A 21,023-nucleotide genomic window follows, 5' to 3' on the forward strand; every position below is an offset into this window, starting at 1 on the left:
TGAAGTGATTCATGGAGGTGGGGGGAAGCTGATATCTTTCTCTGCTTTGACTGCTCCCACCATCTATGGCAGAGCGTCTGTATGGATGTACCATCCTCGCAGAAGGAACCCAACAGAAGTCACTTGGAGAATGAATCCAATGATTTCATTGTTTAATAAATGAGATTACATGAGGCAAGCTCTGTAAAGTGTCTATCACAGTCCTTTTAATTATAGTTAACATTTCCGGAGTGTCAGGCCCTCCATGTATGGATGTGCAGGTTGGGCACTGCACAAGGACACTGTGTCTAAGGGGCTGCATTTCTAGCACAGACACCATATACTTGTATTTATTATAACAATTTCCCAATAGGTGGCAGTAAAGTGTCTTGTTCTAATAAACTCAGAAAATATGACAACTTTCTGACATGGAAGTAAAGAGTCTTAAGCACATTTTTCTCTAATTGTCACAAAGACACCACATGGGCTAATAGTCCTGTTGAAGGTTTACATGAAGCTCTAAAGGTTATACAGGTATTAACTTCCTCAACCCTCACCCTAACCTTTAGAGGTTGACAACTTTTGCTAACCATTTTATAGATGAAAACATTCAGCTATAGGAGGTGAAATAATTTATTTAACGTCATACATAGTGGAGTTAGGACTCACACCTGTGTTCCTAACTGCTGTTATTGGTGGTTAACTATCTAAGGCAGTACCTGCCTCCCTTGCCCCACCTTGCTTCCTCATGTAGTTCTTTGTGATCATTGAGGATTCCTGCCCAACTCTTTCTGGCAAACTCTTAGTAGGCCAGAATTGACACACACTTGCTCGTCTCTGTAGTGGAGAGAGACCCTCCCCAGCAGTGTGCTTTGGTGCTCTGGGGAGCCCCTTCTCCCATTGCTCAGTTGTTCTCTTTCTGGCTCACAATGCAAGTATTCTGTCCTCACAGGGGACAGGCGTGAGAGGTGGGGGTTTGGGGCTGGAAGGTGTCTAGGGGTGGGGAAGAAATACCAGGACAGATGATAACCCGGAAGGGTCTGAGCCAGGAGGCAGGAGAACCAGGCTGGCGGGCAGGCACATGGTCCTCTCTGGGACTGAGAGGGGCTGAAGTGGATCTGCCAGGATGGAATAGGCAGTGTGTGCACGCATATGCTGTGTGCGTATCAGGGAGGGGCAGACCCGGAGCAGCTCAGGGGGCATCAGAGCCTGCATTATGGGAGGAGGGGTGACGGGATTCAGTTGGAACAAGGTGACCTGAACCCTGGATGAAGGTGCTGGAATTGTGATCCTGGAGAAGATGATGCCTGGCCGAAACTGACTTAGCTTTTTCGTTTCTGCCTCCCTGTTTGTCCACTTCTGTCTTTCCTTCTCTGTTTCTCCCTGCACTTGGCATTTCTTTCTGTCCTATCTGTCCTTCTCTCTTGTCTTTTTGCCTTGGTCTTCCTTCCACCTTTGTCTCCATTCTACCTGCTGTCCACTGCAGTCTGAGGACACAGACCTGCCCTACCCACCACCCCAGAGGGAGGCCAACATCTACATGGTTCCTCAGAACATCAAGCCAGCGCTCCAGCGTACCGCCATCGAGGTGAGCCGTCCGGGCCTGGGCGTGGGGGCTGGGAGCAGCCTGCCCTTCCCCTTCCTGGCCCCAGCCTTTCCTGGGGCCCGGGGCCTTCTGAGCCACTCTCCTCATTCTGTGTGCTTAGATCCTGGCATGGGGCCTGCGGAACATGAAGAGTTACCAGCTGGCCAACATCTCCTCCCCCAGCCTCGTGGTAGAGTGTGGGGGCCAGACGGTGCAGTCCTGTGTCATCAGGAACCTCCGGAAGAACCCCAACTTTGACATCTGCACCCTCTTCATGGAAGTGGTGAGCCCCACCTCCCTACTGTCCCCTTCCAGAGTCCTGGGGCTAGAAGTTCTACATGTCCCCGAGCAGCCTGGGGCTTGTGCTCCAATTCCCTGCGGGATCCAGGGTAGGACCCCTCACTTTCCTGTGAACATGGGGAGAAATGCTCATACCCTCCTCACTGGAAGGGTTCAGGCCTCTGAGTAGGACAAACGGGGCCAACCTGCTCCTCCTATACCCAAATCCTAGATCAGCGAAAGTCCCAAGGAGACATCCCCTGGCTGTTGTCCCTCTGGGACAGGTTTCAGTCCCCTGGAGCGCCCTTGGGGACCTGCTAGGGCTTGGCTTTCCAGGATTCCTCCAAACCTTTTCTGACCATGTCCTCCCCCAGCCTGGGCCCCCTCAAAGGAGCTCACCCCCACAGCCCTCAGGCCCTCCAGGCCTCTCCACCTCCCTGGGATGCCTAGACCTAGTGGCCAGAGTAAGGCAGGTCTGAGGAAAAGAAAATGGTTTGCAAGATGAAAGCGCTGTAGAAATTCCAGGCCCAGTGGCTGTCAACAGAAGCCTCCTCTTGGCCGAGCCAAAGCCGCCCCTGAAGGAGAGCATATAAATTATTTCAAGTTGTGTTCAAAGTGCTTTTGGGGTGTGTGGGGGGAAGAATCTGGGTCTGTAAGCCAACTCTTGAGTATCCACTTGGGGGGACTGTCTGTAAGAAATGTTGAGTCCCGGGCCAACTCCCCTCGCCCGCTCCCCAGCCAGTGAGGGAGCGCAGCCTCGTTTCCACTTCAGGCTGAACAGGATGCATTTGGAAGGTAAAGCTGTGGGGGGAAAGCCGGCCTCTGCATGCAGCATTCAAGGGGCCGACAGAAAAGGTGTGTGGCTTCGCTCGACTGCCCAGCTCTGGGCCAGCCACCATTTTGGATTTCTGGCTGTGGGGATTATCTGCGGTTTATAGTCATTTTCTGCTCTTTGGGCTTGACCTGGAGACTTCCCAGAGGGGGATTCAGGCCAGTGCGTTCTTCCTCCTCCACCCAGATGCTGCCCAGGGAGGAGCTCTACTGCCCCCCCATCACCGTCAAGGTCATCGATAACCGCCAGTTTGGCCGCCGGCCTGTGGTGGGCCAGTGTACCATCCGCTCCCTGGAGAGCTTCCTGTGTGACCCCTACTCGGCGGAGAGTCCATCCCCACAGGGTGGCCCAGGTAGGGGAAGGGGAGATGATGGGCAGGTCAGGGAAGGGGGAGCCTCAGGGCCAAGCTACCCTTCCTAGTTGAGATGCATCCTGAAACCCTTCTCTTACGGAGACCTGAATGAGAAGTGGTTTCTGCTCTGCTAGACCACAGGGTGGAGACCTTCCTTAGGGCAGAGCCTAGCTCTGGGTGGGGGGCACCAGGAGCAGGTGACTGATACCCGTTGGAGCTGAGGGGTGAGGGCTCAAAGTGGGCCCAGGGGGAGGGAGAGAGAGGGCAGGGAGACAATGATGCGGGGAGGGAGGAAAGAAATGTGAGGAGAGGAAGACAGAAGTGGGAGACAGAGCATGTGAAGGAGGATGGGAGAGATGGAGATGAGAGAGGGACTTATTGGGAAGTAGGAAGAGAGAGATACCGACTGAGAAATGTGGAGAGACTGCAGGGTCTTGTCTTGGTCCCTTGGTTGAGCCCTGGGGCTGGTGAGGGGCGAGCCTTTTGAGAGAGCCCCTCTCAGGCCTGGATGGCTCCCTCCCCTGCAGACGATGTGAGCCTACTCAGTCCTGGGGAAGACGTGCTCATCGACATTGATGACAAGGAGCCCCTCATCCCCATCCAGGTAGGATGGGCATCCTCCAGGGAGGCCTGGGTCACCTTTCCCCTCCATTCCTCATCAATTCCCACCCCTTCTCCCCTACCCTTCATTATCACACAGCCTCTATACACATCCCCTTCTGGGCTCTGCGGTTGGACACTGTCCAGTAGAGAGACCCAGATGGGAGCTTTCAGTCTGGCTGAGGGGGGTGGGGTGTGCTCATCTGGGCAAGACTCAATCCCTTTTCTTGGATGCATATGTGAAAAATAGGCCATCTACCCTGGGGGCCATGGTGAGGGCTTTCTCCTGGAGATCACCAGAAAATCAGGGTGAGGAGCAAATGAGAGAAGGACGACAGGGGAGGGAGTGAGTGGGCCATCTCTGGGGTCCTCCAGCCCCATCTCCCTATCTGGGACAGGCCCCTTCTTAGGGGGAAGGTTGTTCTGTGGGCTTGTGCTTGGTGGCTCCTTGGAGACAGCTTAGAAAGAAGAGGCTGTGTCCAAGCCAAGAGTCTATCTCGCCCCATTCCTCCATCTGCAGGGAAAAGGAGGAAGGAGGCAGGGAGGGGCCTTATTCTAAGGTCTCCAGCCCTGGGGGAGGTAGGAGTCTTCCTTTTGCTGCATACTCAGCAACTGAGGGCCAGCCTGTGATGCAGATGCCAATGCCACAGAGCATGGCAGGAGGTCTGTGGCACCTTGTGCTGAGGGGCAGCGCTCCCCCGACTGTGGGCCATGGAGTGGCTCTGGATTCTGTAGGGTTGAGCCCATCTGGTCCTTCCCACAGTAGACATGGAGAAAGGTCTCACTGTGAGCACCAGCCTTGAACTCACCATCTGTTCCAGGTTGTCACCCTCCTCTCTGGGCTTTGCAAGATACTGGTCATACCCCTGGCACCCTGGGGCTCCCAGAACTTCTGGGCCACCCAGAGGCAGAGCCTCCAGGCCTGTATAGACAACACCTGTGTCCTCGGGCCTTGCTGCATCTGTAGTTTCACTGATGCTAAAAGTCCTCAGAAGCCCTGTGTTCCATCTCTCCAGCCTCTGTGGCTCTCCAGGGTTCTGCCCTGCCAGCCTTTCTGCTGGGAAGACCTCCTGCCCCCTGTCCCTTGTCCAACTCTTGATCATTGTTTAAGACTTAACTTAGGCATGGTCGCTTCTTTGGGGGAGTCTTTCCTGGCTCCTCTTCTCCTGTGAGACTTGCCTATCTTTGGGTCACTGTGCTGCTCTAGGGCCTGCTGTCTCTGTCAATGTTAGCATATTCCCCAGGCTAAGCTCAGGGGAGCAACTGCGGCTCCTTCCTCTTTGTATTCTCAATGCTCAGCACAAGGCCTCGCTTAGCGGAGGTGTTAATGAAAGTCTGTCTGTCTTGGCAAGTGGGTAGATGGGTGCATGGGTTGATGGATGGATGGACGAATTTTCTGGCTACTGTCTGTATGGATCTGAGGAGGAATCTCTCTCTTGGCTGGGGAAACCCAAATGGAAATTTCAGATGTCCCTATGTGAAATTTAGCTAAACTCAGTGCTAGTGCCTCTGGGCTGCTTGGGTGTTTATAGCTGAATTAGGCAGATAATTTGCCCCAAACTCTGGCTGCCTGCTCCTGGCTCCTGTTTCCCGGCTGCTCCATGGGCCTGTCTGAGATTGTGCAGGGAAGTGCAGGGCCTGCCCAGCAGGATTTCCGTTCTGTGTGTGCTGCCCTCAAAATGTCTACACACTCAGATGGGGAGGGACTATTTTAGGTCCTGCTGGCCACAAGCACAGCCAGAGGCAGACGATGAGGAGGCCCAGCCTGGCCATCCTCCCGGCGTTGACATGAGGGAACTGGGGCTGGGATCTGAGCCAGAGCTGGGCCTGTGCTGTTTGTGGGAGCACACGGCCACTCTGGCTAGAGCTGCTGGCCAGACCAGCAGCACTGGTGGGAGCTGGGATGGGGCTCCTGGAGGTGTACCCACCTGGGGAGGGGCTGGGCCTCCCCTGGCCTGGGACAGGGGAGGAGGAGGAAATGACACTGATTTGCTCTGATGGGGGAGGCTTGGACCTTGCCCTCATGGAGCTCCCTGTCTGATGAAAGAGACAAAACTCTGTTCTCAAAAGCCTCAAACCCAGCAGGGAGACCAGTTCTGTTCTGCAGGGAGCCCTGGCCCTCTGGGGAAGCCCCTTTTCTGGTATCTGACTTTGTTCCATGTTTTTCTCTGAGATCTATTGCTCTGATTTGGCTGATCCAGGAAATCTTTCACTCACTCGCCTCTCCTCCCTGTCCCTGGCACTCTGAAGGACAGGCGCTCCAAGGCCAACCCAGGAGGCAGCTGACCCCGGGTGCAGTTCCAGTGGTTTGCTAGATAACTATGGCTGGGCTTTCTTCCTCTCCCTCCTTCCCCAGTGCAGATAGCATGAAGGGCCCTGGCTTCTGGGGACAGGAGGGACGAGAGGTCTGGCAGAATCTGGATTTTGGCTGGCTTCTGTCTGCCCCACCGGTGTTTCTCGGCAGCCTGTTCCATCCTCACAGTTGATGCAGCCCTGGCTGGTGCTGGATGTGTTCACTGTGTCCTGGCTGTGGTCCTAGGACCCCTCCTAGCTCAAACCTGCTCTTGCCAGAGTTACCCTTCCATCTTGGTCCCTTCCTGTCACTTTCCTCCGTGACACCTTCTCTCTGCTCCCAAAGCCTTCTTACCAGCATCTGCCTAGGTCCTGGGATGAGCTGGCCACACATTTAGAACATGTCACCGGAGACCCTTGCCTGATGTTCAGGCCATGGGCTGGCACTCACCACGGAGTATTTCTTAGGTTTCTAGAAATGTTTTGGTTTGTGTCGAGAGTGGCCAATTCTGGAGGTGACTCAAAACGTGTATAAGGCAGGTCTGTGCTCAGCATCCCAGGGCTCGTAGATCAGTGTCTGTCTCTAAGGGTAAGGGTGGGGGGCCCTGTTTAGGGGGTGCCTGGCCTGTTTAAACTGTTCTCCATGGTGATGAGGATTGGGATGAGAAATACTCACACGTATTAACTCCACCACTTGTTCTTGGTCTGTGCAGCCATCCTATGTGTAGACTTTAGAGTGGCAGACTAGGGGTGGGGGTGGTGTGTGCACATGAGTGAGCATGACAGGTGGGGGTGGTAGGAGCAGGTGTGTGCACGAGCTTCCATGGGTGCTGGCCAGAGGTGTGTCTAAGCTTGGTGGTGGCATTGCAGGAATTGTGGCCTTGACTTTGAACTTTCTGAGGGCAGGCCTGGGTGTGTCCTCACACAGGGAGAGCAGAAGTGTCCTATTCCATCTAGTTCTCTGCTTTAGAAAACGATATATTCATTTTTTCAGATAATAAAATGATACGTGTTCATTATATAAAATTTGGAAAATATAGAAAAATAATGAAAAAATAGGGCTTACCTCCATCCAAACACACAATTTGAATGCACTGCACCCAACATTTCATTGTCATTCTTTCCTCTTCTTTTTAGGTTTCTCTTTCTGTCTCTGATTCTGTCTCTGACTTCATTTCTACCTTTAAAATAAAATTAAGGCCTTTGTTCACTAGTTGTTGTTGTTTTTTTATTAAGGCAGTTCTTGGTGTTATGATTATGATTAGGGGAAGAAAAACAGTGTTCAGGAACACACAGAGAGCCTGCCACCCCCTGTCCATTTCCTATAGAGGGTCTTGAAGCTCCAAATAGAGGCTGTGCCCCCAGAAATCGCACCTTTGAGGCACTGAGATGCCCCCAGAGCCAGCTGGGTATGGCAAGGGCGGCTCTTGCTTAGCATTCCGAGAGAGCACTCCTAGGTAGAGGGGCTCCTCTTCAAGTCCTCAGAGAAGGAGAATTTCGGGAGGTGGGAATATGTGAGTGTTGAAGAATTAGAGAAATAACTTTTAGGAAGTTCCGACTCTGGTCACAAAGAGACAAGGGATGAGGGGGTGTCCAGAAGATCTCAAATGAGTGATGTCAAAGTGAGGAGATGTTTCATTAACAAGGAGACCAAACTCTTGGAGTCTCCTGGCCCTGCAAGTTCACCATAGGCTAAGCAACCAGGGAAGCTTCTCCGGGAAGGCGGCCTCTGAGGCGGGTGGGTGAACAGGGGAGGACAGGGAGGCTTTCCTGGCAGGCAAAAGGGCTCGGGCAAAGGCTTGGAAGTGGGACTCTGTGTGTATGTTTTATGTGGCAAAGGGGTACGTGTGTGTATGTATGAGTGTATGTGGTAGAGGTGGTGTGTGTGTGTGTGGTAGAGGTGGTGTGTGTGTATGTGGGGTAGAGGTGATGTGTGTGGCAGAGGTGGTGTGTGTGTGGCAGAGGTGGGGTGTGTGTGTGGTAGAGGTGGGGTGTGTGCGTGTGTGGTAGAGGTGGGGTGTGTGTGTGGTAGAGGTGGTGTGTGTGTATGTGGGGTAGAGGTGGTGTGTGTGGTAGAGGTGGTGTGTGTGTGGTAGAGGTGGGGTATATGTGTGTGTGTGGTAGAGGTGGGGTATAAGTGTGTGTGGTAGAGATGGGGTGTGTGTGTGTGGTAGAGGTGGGGTGTGTGTGGTAGAGGTGTGTTTGTGGTAGAGGTGTGTGTGTGTGGTAGAGGTGTGTGTGTGGTAGAGGTGGTGTGTGTGTTTGGTAGAGGTGTTTGTGTGGTAGAGGTGAGGTATATGTGTGTGTGGTAGAGATGGGGTGTGTGTGTGTGGTAGAGATGGTGTGTGTGTGTGTGTGTGGTAGAGATGGGGTGTGTGTGTGGTAGAGATGGGGTGTGTGTGTGGTAGAGGTGGGGTGTGTGTGTGGTAGAGGTGGCGTGTGTGGTAGAGGTGGTGTGTGTGTGTGTGTGTGGTAGAGGTGGGGTATAAGTGTGTGTGGTAGAGATGGGATGTGTGTGTGTGGTAGAGGTGGGGTGTGTGTGTGGTAGAGGTGGCGTGTGTGGTAGAGGTGTGTGTGTGTGGTAGAGGTGTGTGTGTGGTAGAGGTGGTGTGTGTGTGTGTGGTAGAGATGGGGTGTGTGTGTGGTAGAGGGGTGTGTGTGTGGTAGAGGTGGCATGTGTGGTAGAGGTGGTGTGTGTGTGTGTGGTAGAGGTGGTGTGTGTGTGGTAGAGGTGGGGTGTGTGTGGTAGAGGTGGGGTTGTGTGTGTGTGGTAGAGGTGTGTGTGTGGTAGAGGTGATGTGTGTGTTTGGTAGAGGTGTGTGTGTGGTAGAGGTGGGGTGTGTGTGTGTGGTAGAGGTGGAGTGTGTGTTTGTGTGGGGTAGAGTTGTGTGTGTGTGGTAGAGGTGGTGGGTGTGGTAGAGGTGGTGTGTGTGTTACAGGAGGTGGTGTGTGTGGCAGAGGAGGTGTGTGTGTGGTAGAGGGATGTGAGTGTGTGTGCGTGGTAGAGATGGTGTGTGTGGCAGAGGTGGGTGTGTATGTGGAGTAGAGGTGGTGGGTGTGTGTCCGTGTGAGTGTGTTTTTTGTGTGTGTGGTGAGCGTGGGGTGCCAGCAGGAGACAGGCCTGGCCTGCTAGTGTGCAGGAGGCCTCGGGAGACTGTTTCCTCACTCTGTCGGGTGGGTGCTGGGGCTGGCCGGCTCTGGGACTCCCAGGCTCCCAGGCTCCCAGGCGCTGGGGCTGGGGCTAATTTTGAGCCTGCTGCTCCAGTTATAGTCTCTGGGATGCCGTGAAGGTGGGAACGTGCTCCCAGAACCGGAGTGGCAAATTATGCCCGAGTCCCAAAGGGGAACGTGTAATTTCTGAAGCTGGACCAGATCTTTGGAGCACTATGTTTAGCTTTATTTTGCTCTGGTGAACTGCCGGTTTCCCTCTCACCTTTCTAAAAAAGAACTGCATTAAAAATAACAGTAAGGCTTCTGTGGGGTTCAGGATGCAAATGGGAGGGGCAGAGCTGCTGCCTGGCGAGGCCCGTCTCTGGCCAGCTAGGGGTGGCACGTGGAGTTCACCCAGTCTATTCCAGGGGTCACACGACATGTGGCCAGCACCCCAGGGCCATCCAGCAGCCCTGGCTAGGTGCCCAAGGCTGATTCTGCCCTCCTGCGTATGCTTCTGGCTCTGAACAGCCCTGAGGGGCCCCTCAGTGATGTGTCTTTTCACAGAGCAGGGAGGGATCCGAGTCCCCAAACGTCCCTCCTGGGCCCAGCAGGGCTTCACCTTCCGTGGGTTTCTTTGGGCATCGGGGGAGTGTCTTCCAGGATCTTCCTGTTGAGGAAGGCAGGGCAGCCTGGGGTTTCGCCCCTTGGAGTCCTCCCAGAGCCCCCTGCTCAAGGCTTAGAGGTTGAGGGGCCAGCCCCGGCAGCTCTGGGTCCTAGCTGGCTGCTTCCCAGCACCTACCCTCCTGACCCGTTTGCTCTTTCTCGAACGGGCTGTGCTTCTTTCTTCCCCTCTACCTTTGCGCTTGCGATTCCCTCTGCCTAGCATGCGTCTTCTCACCTTGCCCACCTGCTAGCCTGGTACTCATTCACCCAGAGCCCCATCCCCTTATCCTAGAGTATCGTAGTGGTCTCTGAACAAGTCTTCCTGCCTTCAGCCCTGAGCCCTGAGGCCCTCCTCAGGCTGCAGCCCAAGGATTCACAGTACAGGGAGATTGATTCACAGTACTGGGAGATTGTAGGCAAGGAGCTGATGCTCAGAAAAGGATGCAGAAAGTGATTTGTAGCATGGAGTGGAGGTGGGACTATAAGACTCCTAAAGTCCCCACTGATGTCAGGTTTTGGGGAAGACATATGATGCCCTGGTTCTTGTCCTGGAGGAGGGAAGACTGAGTAACCTGCTGTAGCTTTGGGAACCATGCCCTGCAGTGTTGGTGTGGCTCAGAGGTTAGGATGCTGGGGTTGGAGTGTCCCTGAAATAGGCAGATTTTGGAGAGGGAGGGAGGACATATGAGAGAGTGGGCAAGAGTCAGGCATTGGCTGAGCCCCTTCCACGTGCCTTGCCTTGTGCTGGGCGTGCACAGCCTTCGTCTCATTCATACTCACTGTCGCCCTGTGAGGTGGGCTTTGGGCCCATTCTCCAGATAGGACGCTGACCCAGAGAGGTCAAGGGGCTTGCTCAAAGTCACACATCTGGTGAGGTGTTGGAGCCAGGCTTGTCCAACTCCAAAGCACATGTTCTCCCTGGAGGAAGAGCAGAGGGTGCCTGGTCAGAGAGCGCTACCTCTTGGAGACTGTCCAGCCTTCCCTAAAGTGGGTTCTCTAATCCTGTTGCTAACCAGCATGTTTCATTTGTAGCTTGCAGACGGTCTGTCGAGCTTGGCCCCCACTAACACGGCTTCTCCTCCATCCAGTCCTCATGTATGTACTGTTTACTTATTTGTGGGCTCCTTGTATTCCCTTGTGGGGCTGGGGGTAGGGGGGTTAGGAGGGAAATGGGAGGGGAGAGTGGGAGGGAAGAAAGGAGGTATTTCCTGAGCCCTAGCAGGGAAGTCACCTATCTTTGCCTCACTGAAAAGGAGGGGTGAGAGAAAGCTATGGAGTAGATGCTCAGAAATGGACACCCCTAGGTTACTTCCTGGGATTTACCTTATTTACCTGTGTGAGGGCTGGGGGCTTAGGTGGGGCTGCATGGGCCAGTGGAAGCGGGGAAATCTCTCAATTAGACTCTGACTTCTGGAGTGTGGGACCCCAGAAGGCTCTTCTGGGCGTGGGACCTCAGACGGCAGGCTGACTTTCTGTGCTCCTCCCTGATGTGTGAAGGATGTGTGTGACTGAGGAACCCTGGCTGGCCCCTCGGGTGCTAAGAGGTCTGCTGGGGCCAACAGTCTGCTCCTGCAGTTTCCAGCAGGGCTCCTTTCTGCTTGCCTGAGTGGATTCCTTAGGTGTCATCTTTCTGGGCTGTGGGTCCCTCTAGGAAGATGACTTTGATGTCTGGCCTTCAGCATGCGCTCCTGAAGTCCCATGGTGAGGGCCAGTGGGAGCCCCTGACCTGTGGAGGGTGGCGTAAGAGACAGAACTTGCTAAAGGCAGCGAGTTACATTCTACTTATGGTGTCAAGAGGAGGCACTGTTGTACTGGGGGTCTCATGAGCTTCTAGAAGGAGGCTATCGATATACATATTTTTTTCTGATTTATCTATTTTAAATAAAATATGGAAAACACAAAAAGTGTCAAGTAGGAAGTTAAAACCACTTTTATTCCTACCAGTTTATGATAGGCACTGTTAGGGTTTTGATGTGCCTAGATTTTTTAGATATCTTTTAAACTCACATGAATACTTTTTAAAAACAAAATTGGAATCATACTTTTTTATAATTTGGATTTTTTAAATTTAAAAGTATATATGAATATTTTTCCATATTTGTATGTGTGTATATATAATATATGTATAATATGTATGTTATGTATATTATATATATATTTTTTGAGATGGAGTCTCACTTTGTCGCCCAGGCTAGAGTGCAGTGGCATGATCTTGGCTCACTGCAACCTCCATCTGCTGGGCTCAAGCAATTCTCCTGCCTCAGCCTCCTGAGTAGCTGGGACTACAGGTGCGCAACACCACACGTGGCTAATTTTTTGTATTTTTAGTAGAGACGGGGTTTCACCATGTTGGCCAGTCTGGTCTCGGACTCCTGATCTCATGATCTGCCCGCCTCGGCCTCCCAAAGTGCTGGGATTACAGGCGTGAGCCACCACACCCAGCCTATTCTTATATTCTTTAAAGATATGACTGCATGTCACATGAACATTCGTAAACTTTTAACTACTCCCTATCATTTGCCATTTAATTTGTTTATTTCTCCTATTGTCTTCTTTTGTCCCTTAAAGGACTTATTTTAGTTCACTTTATATATGTCCATTCAGATGATTTCTTTGTTTTTTTTTTTTTTTTGTTACGCCCAGGTACATCTGTTCAGGCCATTTCTTGTTAAAGTGTATTCCTAGGCATTTTATGGTCTTTGGTGCTGTTCTAAATGGAATATATGTTTTCCTCATGACTTTGTCGAACTATCGCTAGAATATAGGAAAACAATATTTTTGTATATTTACTTTGGAACTGACTCTTTATTAAGGCCCATTTATTAGTTCTGACTATTGTTAATTGATTCTGTTTGGTTTTCCAAGTAGGTAAGATTGTTTTCTTCAAATAATGATAAACGTGTTAGTTTCTTTCTAATAGTAATGCCTCATTCCTTTTTCCAAATACCATTTGATATTTGAGATGCTGCTGAGCAGACTTATTTAGTCATTCATTCTAATGAGACTGCCTCTACCAGATTTCCATTAATTGGGATGATGATTGATGGTTTCAGACAGATATTTGATTTTGGCAAGGTTGTGTCCTTTATTGTTTGTTTGTTTATTTTTTTATTGTTTTTGAGATGGAGTCTTGCTCCGTTGCCCAGGCTGGAGTGCAGTGGTGTTGTCTTGGCTCACTGCAACCTCTGCCTCCTGGGTTCAAGCAATTCTCTTGCCTCAGCCTCCTGAGTAGCTGGGATTACAGGTGCCCACCACCGCACTCTGTTAATTTTTGTATTTTTGTAGAGACAGGGTTTCACCATCTTGGCCAGGCTGATCTTGAACTCCTGACCTCAAATGATCCACCCTCCTTGGCTTCCCAAAGTGTTGGGATTACAGGTGTGAGCCACCGCACCTAGCTGATTGTTAGTTTATTAATAGCTTAAAAATTAGTCATGGAAGTTTAATTCTATCAAATGTCATTTGGCATTTATTAAGATGATAATTTTATTTTCCATTGTCTGTTAATATAGTGTATAATTGTGCTATATTCCTGGGGTAAACCCAAATCGGTCAATTGGTCATGGTATTATAGTTTACTACAGTTGCAGCCTTCTTATCCAATGCAATCGAGACAGGTAGTCGATTGGCTAATTGATAAAGTTGATTAAATAGGGACTTATTTTTTTTTTTAATTGTACTTTAGGTTTTAGGGTACATGTGCACATTGTGCAGGTTAGTTACATATGTATACATGTGCCATGCTGGTGCGCTGCACCCACTAACTCGTCATCTAGCATTAGGTATATCTCCCAATGCTGTCCCTCCCCCCTCCCCCCACCCCACAACAGTCCCCAGAGTGTGATATTCCCCTTCCTGTGTCCACGTGATCTCATTGTTCAATTCCCACCTATGAGCGAGAATATGCGGTGTTTGGTTTTTTGTTCTTGCGATAGTTTACTGATTAAAAGTCCTGCAAATGTACCACAAACATTTTGTTTTTAACCATGTCCATGTAACTTTATTTGCCAATCATTTGACATGTGCCACACCCTCTTTTTGAATTTGGATGTGCTGACTTGTGTGTCATGTCATCCTTTTGGTATAAATCATATCCAAAATGCATTATCCAGGATTTTTAGTTTTAGGTTTATTAAAATTTGATGAGAACTTAACGATACTTGCAAAAAAAAAATCTGAGTGTAGAGTCCTCTTAAAGTTTAAGATGCCCTTCCACCTTTTATGTTATCTCACTTGTACTTGATATTCATCACTTAAAAAAAAAATCAAAAGCAAGCCAGGTGTGGTGGCTCTTGCCTGTAATCCAGCACTTTGGGAGGTCGAGGTAGGCAAATTGCTTGAGCACAGGAGTTGAGATCAGCCTGGGCAGCATAGTGAAACCCTGTCTCTACAGAAAATACAAAAATTAGCCAGGTGTGGTGGCACATGCCTGTAGTCCCAGCTATTCAGGAGGCTGAGGTGGGAAGATTGCTTGAGCCCCAGAGGACGAGGTTGCGGTGAGCCGTGATAGCATCACTGCACTCTATCCTGGGTGACAAAGTGAGACCTTGTTGCAACAAACAACCTCACCAAAACACAAAAGCCTTAAATTAGTTTTCATAGATACAATGCCCTTCCTTTTTATATTCAAATTCTATGTGTTTTTAAATATATACTTTGTTTATCCAATTACCATATTAGTACAACCCAGCTCATCTTCTGGAGCTGCAGTGGGCATCCTAGAACAGCTGTGGACAGTCAGTGGTTCTGGACCTCAGGCAGATTGTTGGCAGACAGGACAGACAGCATTTGTTAATCCTGGCTAAGAAGTTTTAAGGAGAGCTTCTATTATGTATTATTGAGTTAGGTTTGCTACTACTTAGGATTTTTACGTCTCTATTAATAAGTATGACTTTCGAGTTGTCTTTGTTACACTTTGATATCGGGGTTATACTAGTCCCTTAAAAGGCTTTTCAGGTGTACTTCTACTTTCTGTGCTCTTAAACAGGCTCTGTGGCATGATAATTATTGTTGCTGAAAGGCCCTAAAATACACCAGAGCCACTGTTTATGAACTTAAATTATGCAATTTGGAAATTATATGATACAAATATTTCAATAGTTTGGCTTTATGTACAAAATGTGTAATAGTAGGAAACCTAAATTTAAAAAAAATGACCGACAATCATGTAATTTAAAAGGTGGTGAAATTGTATCTATGGTTTCCTAACACGGGATAGCCATCATTTTTTCTCTAAAATGGTGTTATATGTTTTGAATTATAGAAGATTTTCAGGAACGCATATCTTATATAATTGTATAAGATGCAACTGTCTTGTATGCATTCGTAAAACTGGGCTCAACACATTTTCTGGAGGGGATTCTTTGATCATTTTGTACTTCTTCAATCAATTTGGTAGCTGAGATGTCATCAGATACTGCCTGTTAACACTGGTATAAATTTGTACATATTACTATAATGAAAGCTTTGTATCTATTCTGTTTTCATCTTCATTCTTAATTTTATGTATTTATGTTATTTTCCTTTTTTATTAGGCTTCATATCGTTTCATCTATTTTATAGTTGTTTTCCATCCAAAGAACCAGCTCTTTAAAAATTCTGCTGATATTATAATAGATTAGTTTCTTTAATTTCTACATTCAAGTCATTTTTAAGCTCTCTCAATCTGAAATTCCTATTATATGTATTCTAGATATCTTGGGTTATCACTTTATCTCTTTCTCTCTCTCTTGTTTAGAAAAGACTGTTAAAGGGAGCTATTTGTCTATATTTTCTTCTAAAAATTCTGAAGTTTTGCTTTTCACACTTCAGTATTTATTTCACCTGGAATTGATTTTGCGTGCGTGTTAATTGTGAGGTAGAGTTTTTTTCTCATGTAACTAACCAATGAATTAATATCATCATAGAATGATCTGTGCTTTCTCATTGATCCACAGTGACAGCTGTGTCATTTGTTGGGTTTCCATATAAGTGTGGGCTATTTGTGGGCTCTCTATTCTGTTCCATTGGTCTGTTTGTCTTTCTCTGGGCTATTTTAGTATCTTATTTACTATAGCTTTCTAATAGGTCTTGATCTCTGATAAGGAAGTACTTTGTTCATTTTCAGAAGTATCATTGCTATTCTAGTCCTTTGCTTTTCCACTTCAGTTTTAGAATCAGCTTGTCAACTTAAAAAAAAGTTGAGATTTGTGACAGAGTTATAGTGAATTGCTGGATCAGTTTGGGGAAAGCAGACATTTTTATTATATTGCCTTTTAACCATGAACATAATATATCTTTCCATTTATTTAGGCCTTCTTTAATGGTAATTTAATGCATTTTTATAATTTTATCCAAAAATGTCTAGTACAACTTTTATTATATTTAGTTCTAGCAATTTTATGCATTATTGTTCTCTTTACTTGAATTTTTAAAGGTACATTTTCTGACTGGTTTTTGCTTGTATATAAATGAAATCGATTCTCATATACAGATTTTATATCCAGAAACTTTGCTAAACTCTCTTATGAATTATACTGGCTTGAGAATTCTCCTGGATTTTCTATAGAGTCAATCATATAATTTGTGATTAATTACAATTTTAATTCTTCTGTCTATATTTCTTTTACTTTTTTATTTTATTTTCTTGTCTTATTGCCATTGACTAGAACCTTCAGCTGATGTTCTATGTACTTGGTTATAGAGAGTATTCTTTTCTGCTCCTAATTTTAAAATGAATGTTTTTATGTTTTACCACTGATCATCAAATTTATCAGGTGAACCTAGTTACCTGTTAGAATCTTACTAGTTAGCTGTTTTTTTTCATGAATGTTGTTAAATTTTATTGAATGTTTTTAAAGTATCCATCGAAGTGATCATATAATTTTGCTCCTTTAACCTGTTAATGTAGTGAATTACATTAATATATAATACATAATTATATAATATATTTACATATGTTAATTAATAACCCAAGTTATCTAAAATATATATAACAGGAATTTCAGCTTCAGAGAGCTTAATTACAGTAATAAATATATCTATATTAGTACTTAAACAACTTTGCATTTCTGAAACAATCTAAGCTGATCATGATATATTATCTTTTTTCTGCATTGCTGGGCTCAGTTTGCAAACAGTAAGTTTAGGACTTTTTTTGCATCATTTTTTGGGATGATATTGGCTTAAAGTGTTTCTTTTTCATACTATTATTTTCAGGTTTATAAAATGACTTCTGTTGTGTAAGCCGTAAGATTGGCATTATCCGTTGCCTAAATGTTTGGTAGATTCACTCATAAAACTGTCTAGACTTAGTATTCTTTTTGGGAATATTTTAAATTGCTGTTGCAGCTTTTAAAAATGTTTATAGGACCTTTGAGATTTTCTGTTTCTAAGTGAGTGACTTTTGGTGATTTAAATTTTCTAGGAATTATCTATTTCTTCCTAAAAATATTGGTGTAATATTTTTTATGATCTCTTAATTTTTCAAAAAGAATTTCTTCTCCATCTAGTTATGCCTCCTTTCATTCTCAAGATTATATTTTATTATTCTTGCCAGAATTTATCAGATTTTTTTCAGTCTATTCAAAGAATTTTTAGTTGATCTTCTCTATTATTTCCTTATTTTATAATTTATTAACTTCTTTTCTTCTATTTTATTCCTTCCATTTTATTTCTTTTCTTCCATTTTGGGGGAGTTTATTATATTTTAACCTCTATGTAAACATTTAAGGCTCTAAAATTCCCTCTCACTACTGCTTTATGCATCCTGTAGGTTCTGACAAGTAATATTTTTGTTATTTCCCATTCTGAGTATTTTCGGATTTTTATTATTTCTTTTTGACACCTAAATTGTCTAAAAATATGGTTTTTGGAAGTTACTAACTTATATTTTAAATTATCTTTTGTTATTGATTTCTAGGTTAACTGGAATGGTCTCTATGGTCCAGAGAGTGTAGTCTGTGTGTAACGATATAATACTTAGAAATGGCCTGACACTTGCTTTATGGTCTAGTTTAAATCTGTAACTGTCCTGTGTGTGCTTGAAAAGAATGTGTATTGTCCAGATGTCTTAAATATTCAATGTGCATTTAGAACAGGCTTGTTAATTGTTATTAAAATCTGTACTCCTGATTTTTGTGTGTGTGTGGTTTATCAATTTCTGAGCGAGACATGAAAATATTCTGCTTTGATGTGACATTTGTCAATTTCTCCTTATAATTCCACCTACTTTTATATATTTGATGCTCTCTATATTTTTTCTCTCTCTATAGAGAATTCTTATATCTTCCTGGAGAATTGAATCTTTTAACAATATGTAGCAAGCCTCTGCCCATTTCTGTCTTTTAAAATCTCTGCTAATGAGTTTTTCTTAAAGTCTGTTTTGTTCATGTTAATATAGCTACCCCAGCTTTCTTTTGGTTAGTATTTTCCTTGTATAGCTTTTTCCACCTTGTTACTTTCAACTTTTCTGTCTTTAAGTTTTAGCTATCTCTCCTGTGAACAGCAAATAGATAGATTCTATTTGTGTTTAATGCATTCTGACAATCTTTACTAATATATTTGAATTTGTTTCTGCCATCTTATTTTGTATCTCTATCAGCCTTTTTTCAATTAAAATATTCCCCTCCTTTTTTCCATCCCTTCTCTTCTTTTTAGTTTCAAAACTATATATGTTTCTATTTCTTTAGTGATTAGTATAGAAATTTTAACATGGCATATTTAACTTAGCAAAGTCTAAATTTAATTGGTATTTATATCTTCCTCCAGAATATTACAAGGAACTTAGACTGCTTTAACTCCAATCACCTATCAATTTGCAAACTTTTGTACAATATTTTAGTTTTATCTTTTTTACCTACCTTTTTAAAGCATTATTTTATTTTAAGTAATCATTTTTTTCTTTTAGCTATATTCACATTTACTTTTTTTTTTTAATATCCGTCATCTTTTTCCTGAAGTAGGGCCTATTGAAATTCCTATAATTGAGGTCAGTTCATTATAAACTTTCTCACTTTTTAACTGTTTGAAAATATTTTTTTCACCCTTATCTTGGAAATAATAGTTTCACTAACAGTTATTTTCTGTCAGCACTCTTTTCTGGCTTCCATTGTGCTATTGTTTTCACAAATCTGAGGACTTAAAAAAATTTTATTTTAAAGTTAAGTTTAGTTTTGGCTGGGTGCAGTGGCTCATGCCTGTAATCCCAGCACTTTGGGAGGCTGGGGCAGGCAGATCATTGAGCTCAGGAGTTCGAGACCAACCTGGGCAATGGTAGCAAAACCCCGTCTCTACAAAAAATACAAAAAATTAGCTAGGTGTGGTGGTGCATACCTGTAGTCCCAGCTACTCAAGAAACTGAGGTGGGAGGATCGCTTGAGCCCAGGAGGTTAAGGGTGCAGTGAGCCATGATTGTGCCACTGCACTCTAGCCTGGCCCACAGAGTGAGACCCTGTTGCAAAAAAAAAAAAATTTAAAAAGTAAAATTAGTTTAATTTAATTTTTAAAAGATGTTATTTTTATTCATTCTGAGCAATTCTCAACCATTATCTCTTCAAATGTTACAGATTCCATTCTCTCATCATTTCTGGAACTCTGGATATACAGTGGACCTCTTCTATTCTTCATGTCTGTCAAATTTTCTTTCATATTGTTTATTTCTTTGGATTGCACTCTGGCTAATTTCTGAAGATGTATCTTCTTGTTCACTTGATCTTTAGCAGTTTCTAATCTGCTATTTTACCCTATCTATTGAGTTTTCAGTCTTAAGTACTATATTTTTATTTCTAAAAGTTTTATTCCCCCAATCTGCTTGTTTATTTTTGAAGGTCTCCTGTCCCTTTGCAATATTTTTAATGCCTTTTATTTATTTAAACAGTTTTTCCTTAAAGCCCTATTTCTGACTACTCTGACTTCTGTTGTCTGATTCTGCAATTGGTTGGCTCTAGCTGGCTCTTGCTCATGGTGCCTAGTTCCTTATGTGTTTGATTGTGAACTCATGTTCCTTGGAACTTTATCTGAGAATTCTTTGGGGCCTGGGTGGAAGTTACATTCTTTTAGAGAGGATATGTGTTTACTTTTACCAGATGTCTGGAGACACTATAAACACAGATTAACTTAAAACTAAATGTTCAGTGTGTGGCTTTTTGGGTCCACTAGTTAGTATGCATTTTGGCTCCTTATTTCTCTGGATTTTTCCTTTCTCATTTGCCCTTAAGAATTTTCTTTACATTCCCATCAGCTCAGCCATGCATTTAAAATGGATTTTAGAAATATCTTTTCTGTTAATTTAGGTGTTCTTACTTGGAGGGTTTCTCTGGTTGTCTAATTTGTCATTTTGCTGGAAATCAATGTCTTTATTAGAGGTTTAAATTTGAAGTCATGGTTTTCATCATGCAGGTTTATCTCCTTCAGGGTTGTGTACTCTAATTTCTTGTTTGCAGTTTCCTCTTAAGACTTCCTATGAATACACATGAGCCATTTGTTTTCTTCTGCTTTTTACTCAACTCTTTAAGAGCATTGGGAGACATTTGTCTTTGTCTTCAGATCGCTCTTCTTCTTTTGCCCTTAATATCTTCTTTTTTTTCCTTGTGTTTATCCTTACAGAGGGAAGTCCTTGCTTGTCAAATACTGGGACCTCAGTTAGATTCTTTCCATAAATTCATGGGCCCTTCTAATCTCAAACTCAGACAAAAAGAAGAAGGAAATAGTTTAGATTTGCAGTAGTTTCACTTTGCTGGTTAGAAATCCAGCAGGGTGGGAGAAGTAAGAAGGAAACCAGGATCAGAGGCAGCTATGTGGGGCTATTCTTCTGGGCTGAAGAGTTTATTTCCTATGTTTGTTATGGTAGTCAGGGGTTAGCTAGGGTAGGCCAGAGGGCCAGAGCTGCTGCGCCTACCAATGAACTCCTATGTAGGAATTTCTTAAGTAAAGTAGAGTTGACCCTCTCCCACTAGGCCCACCAGGCAGGGTGTTACTTTAGGGAAGTTTCTACAGTTTTGGCTGAGTGAATCCTTAACCTTGTGGGTTCAGACACCTGTTGGGTCAATTTTCTCACGGCTAGATGTGTAAACTTACATGAGAAATATAGCTCCCTGGGGCATGTGACCTTGGTGGCTGGTCCAGCCCATAGTCTCCTATAGGCTCAGTGAGTGGGAAGCCAAATTGTGATTAAGAGTGAGAAATCAGAATGAGGAGAGAGAGTTCTGTAATTTGAACTTTAGTGCCAGCTGACTTGGCACTGACACATCCATCTCCAAAGGTAGGGGCAGCTTTAGTCCCTAAGCCTAGGTCTGCTCTCCCCTGATGGT

At 45.3% G+C, this 21,023-nt stretch overlaps 1 protein-coding gene across 14 annotated transcripts in view; it reads left to right on the forward strand.

The window, feature by feature from the left end:
- The window catches only part of DYSF (dysferlin), a 233,203-nt gene that overhangs the window by 156,219 nt on the left and 55,961 nt on the right, over positions 1-21,023 (forward strand). For 8 of the 14 annotated variants that reach the window (NM_001130979.2, NM_001130980.2, NM_003494.4 and 5 more), the window contains 4 exons: positions 1,466-1,567; positions 1,686-1,847; positions 2,862-3,027; positions 3,555-3,631. In NM_001130979.2, coding sequence (NP_001124451.1) covers positions 1,466-1,567; positions 1,686-1,847; positions 2,862-3,027; positions 3,555-3,631 — 507 coding nt within the window. Of the gene's footprint in view, positions 1-1,465; positions 1,568-1,685; positions 1,848-2,861; positions 3,028-3,554; positions 3,632-10,767; positions 10,831-21,023 lie in introns of all 14 variants that reach the window. The other 6 variants (NM_001130981.2, NM_001130978.2, NM_001130977.2 and 3 more) reach the window with 1 other exon arrangement.

The sequence above is a fragment of the Homo sapiens genome, chromosome 2, assembly GCF_000001405.40.
Source record: "Homo sapiens chromosome 2, GRCh38.p14 Primary Assembly".
Classification (NCBI taxonomy): Eukaryota; Metazoa; Chordata; class Mammalia; order Primates; family Hominidae; genus Homo; species Homo sapiens.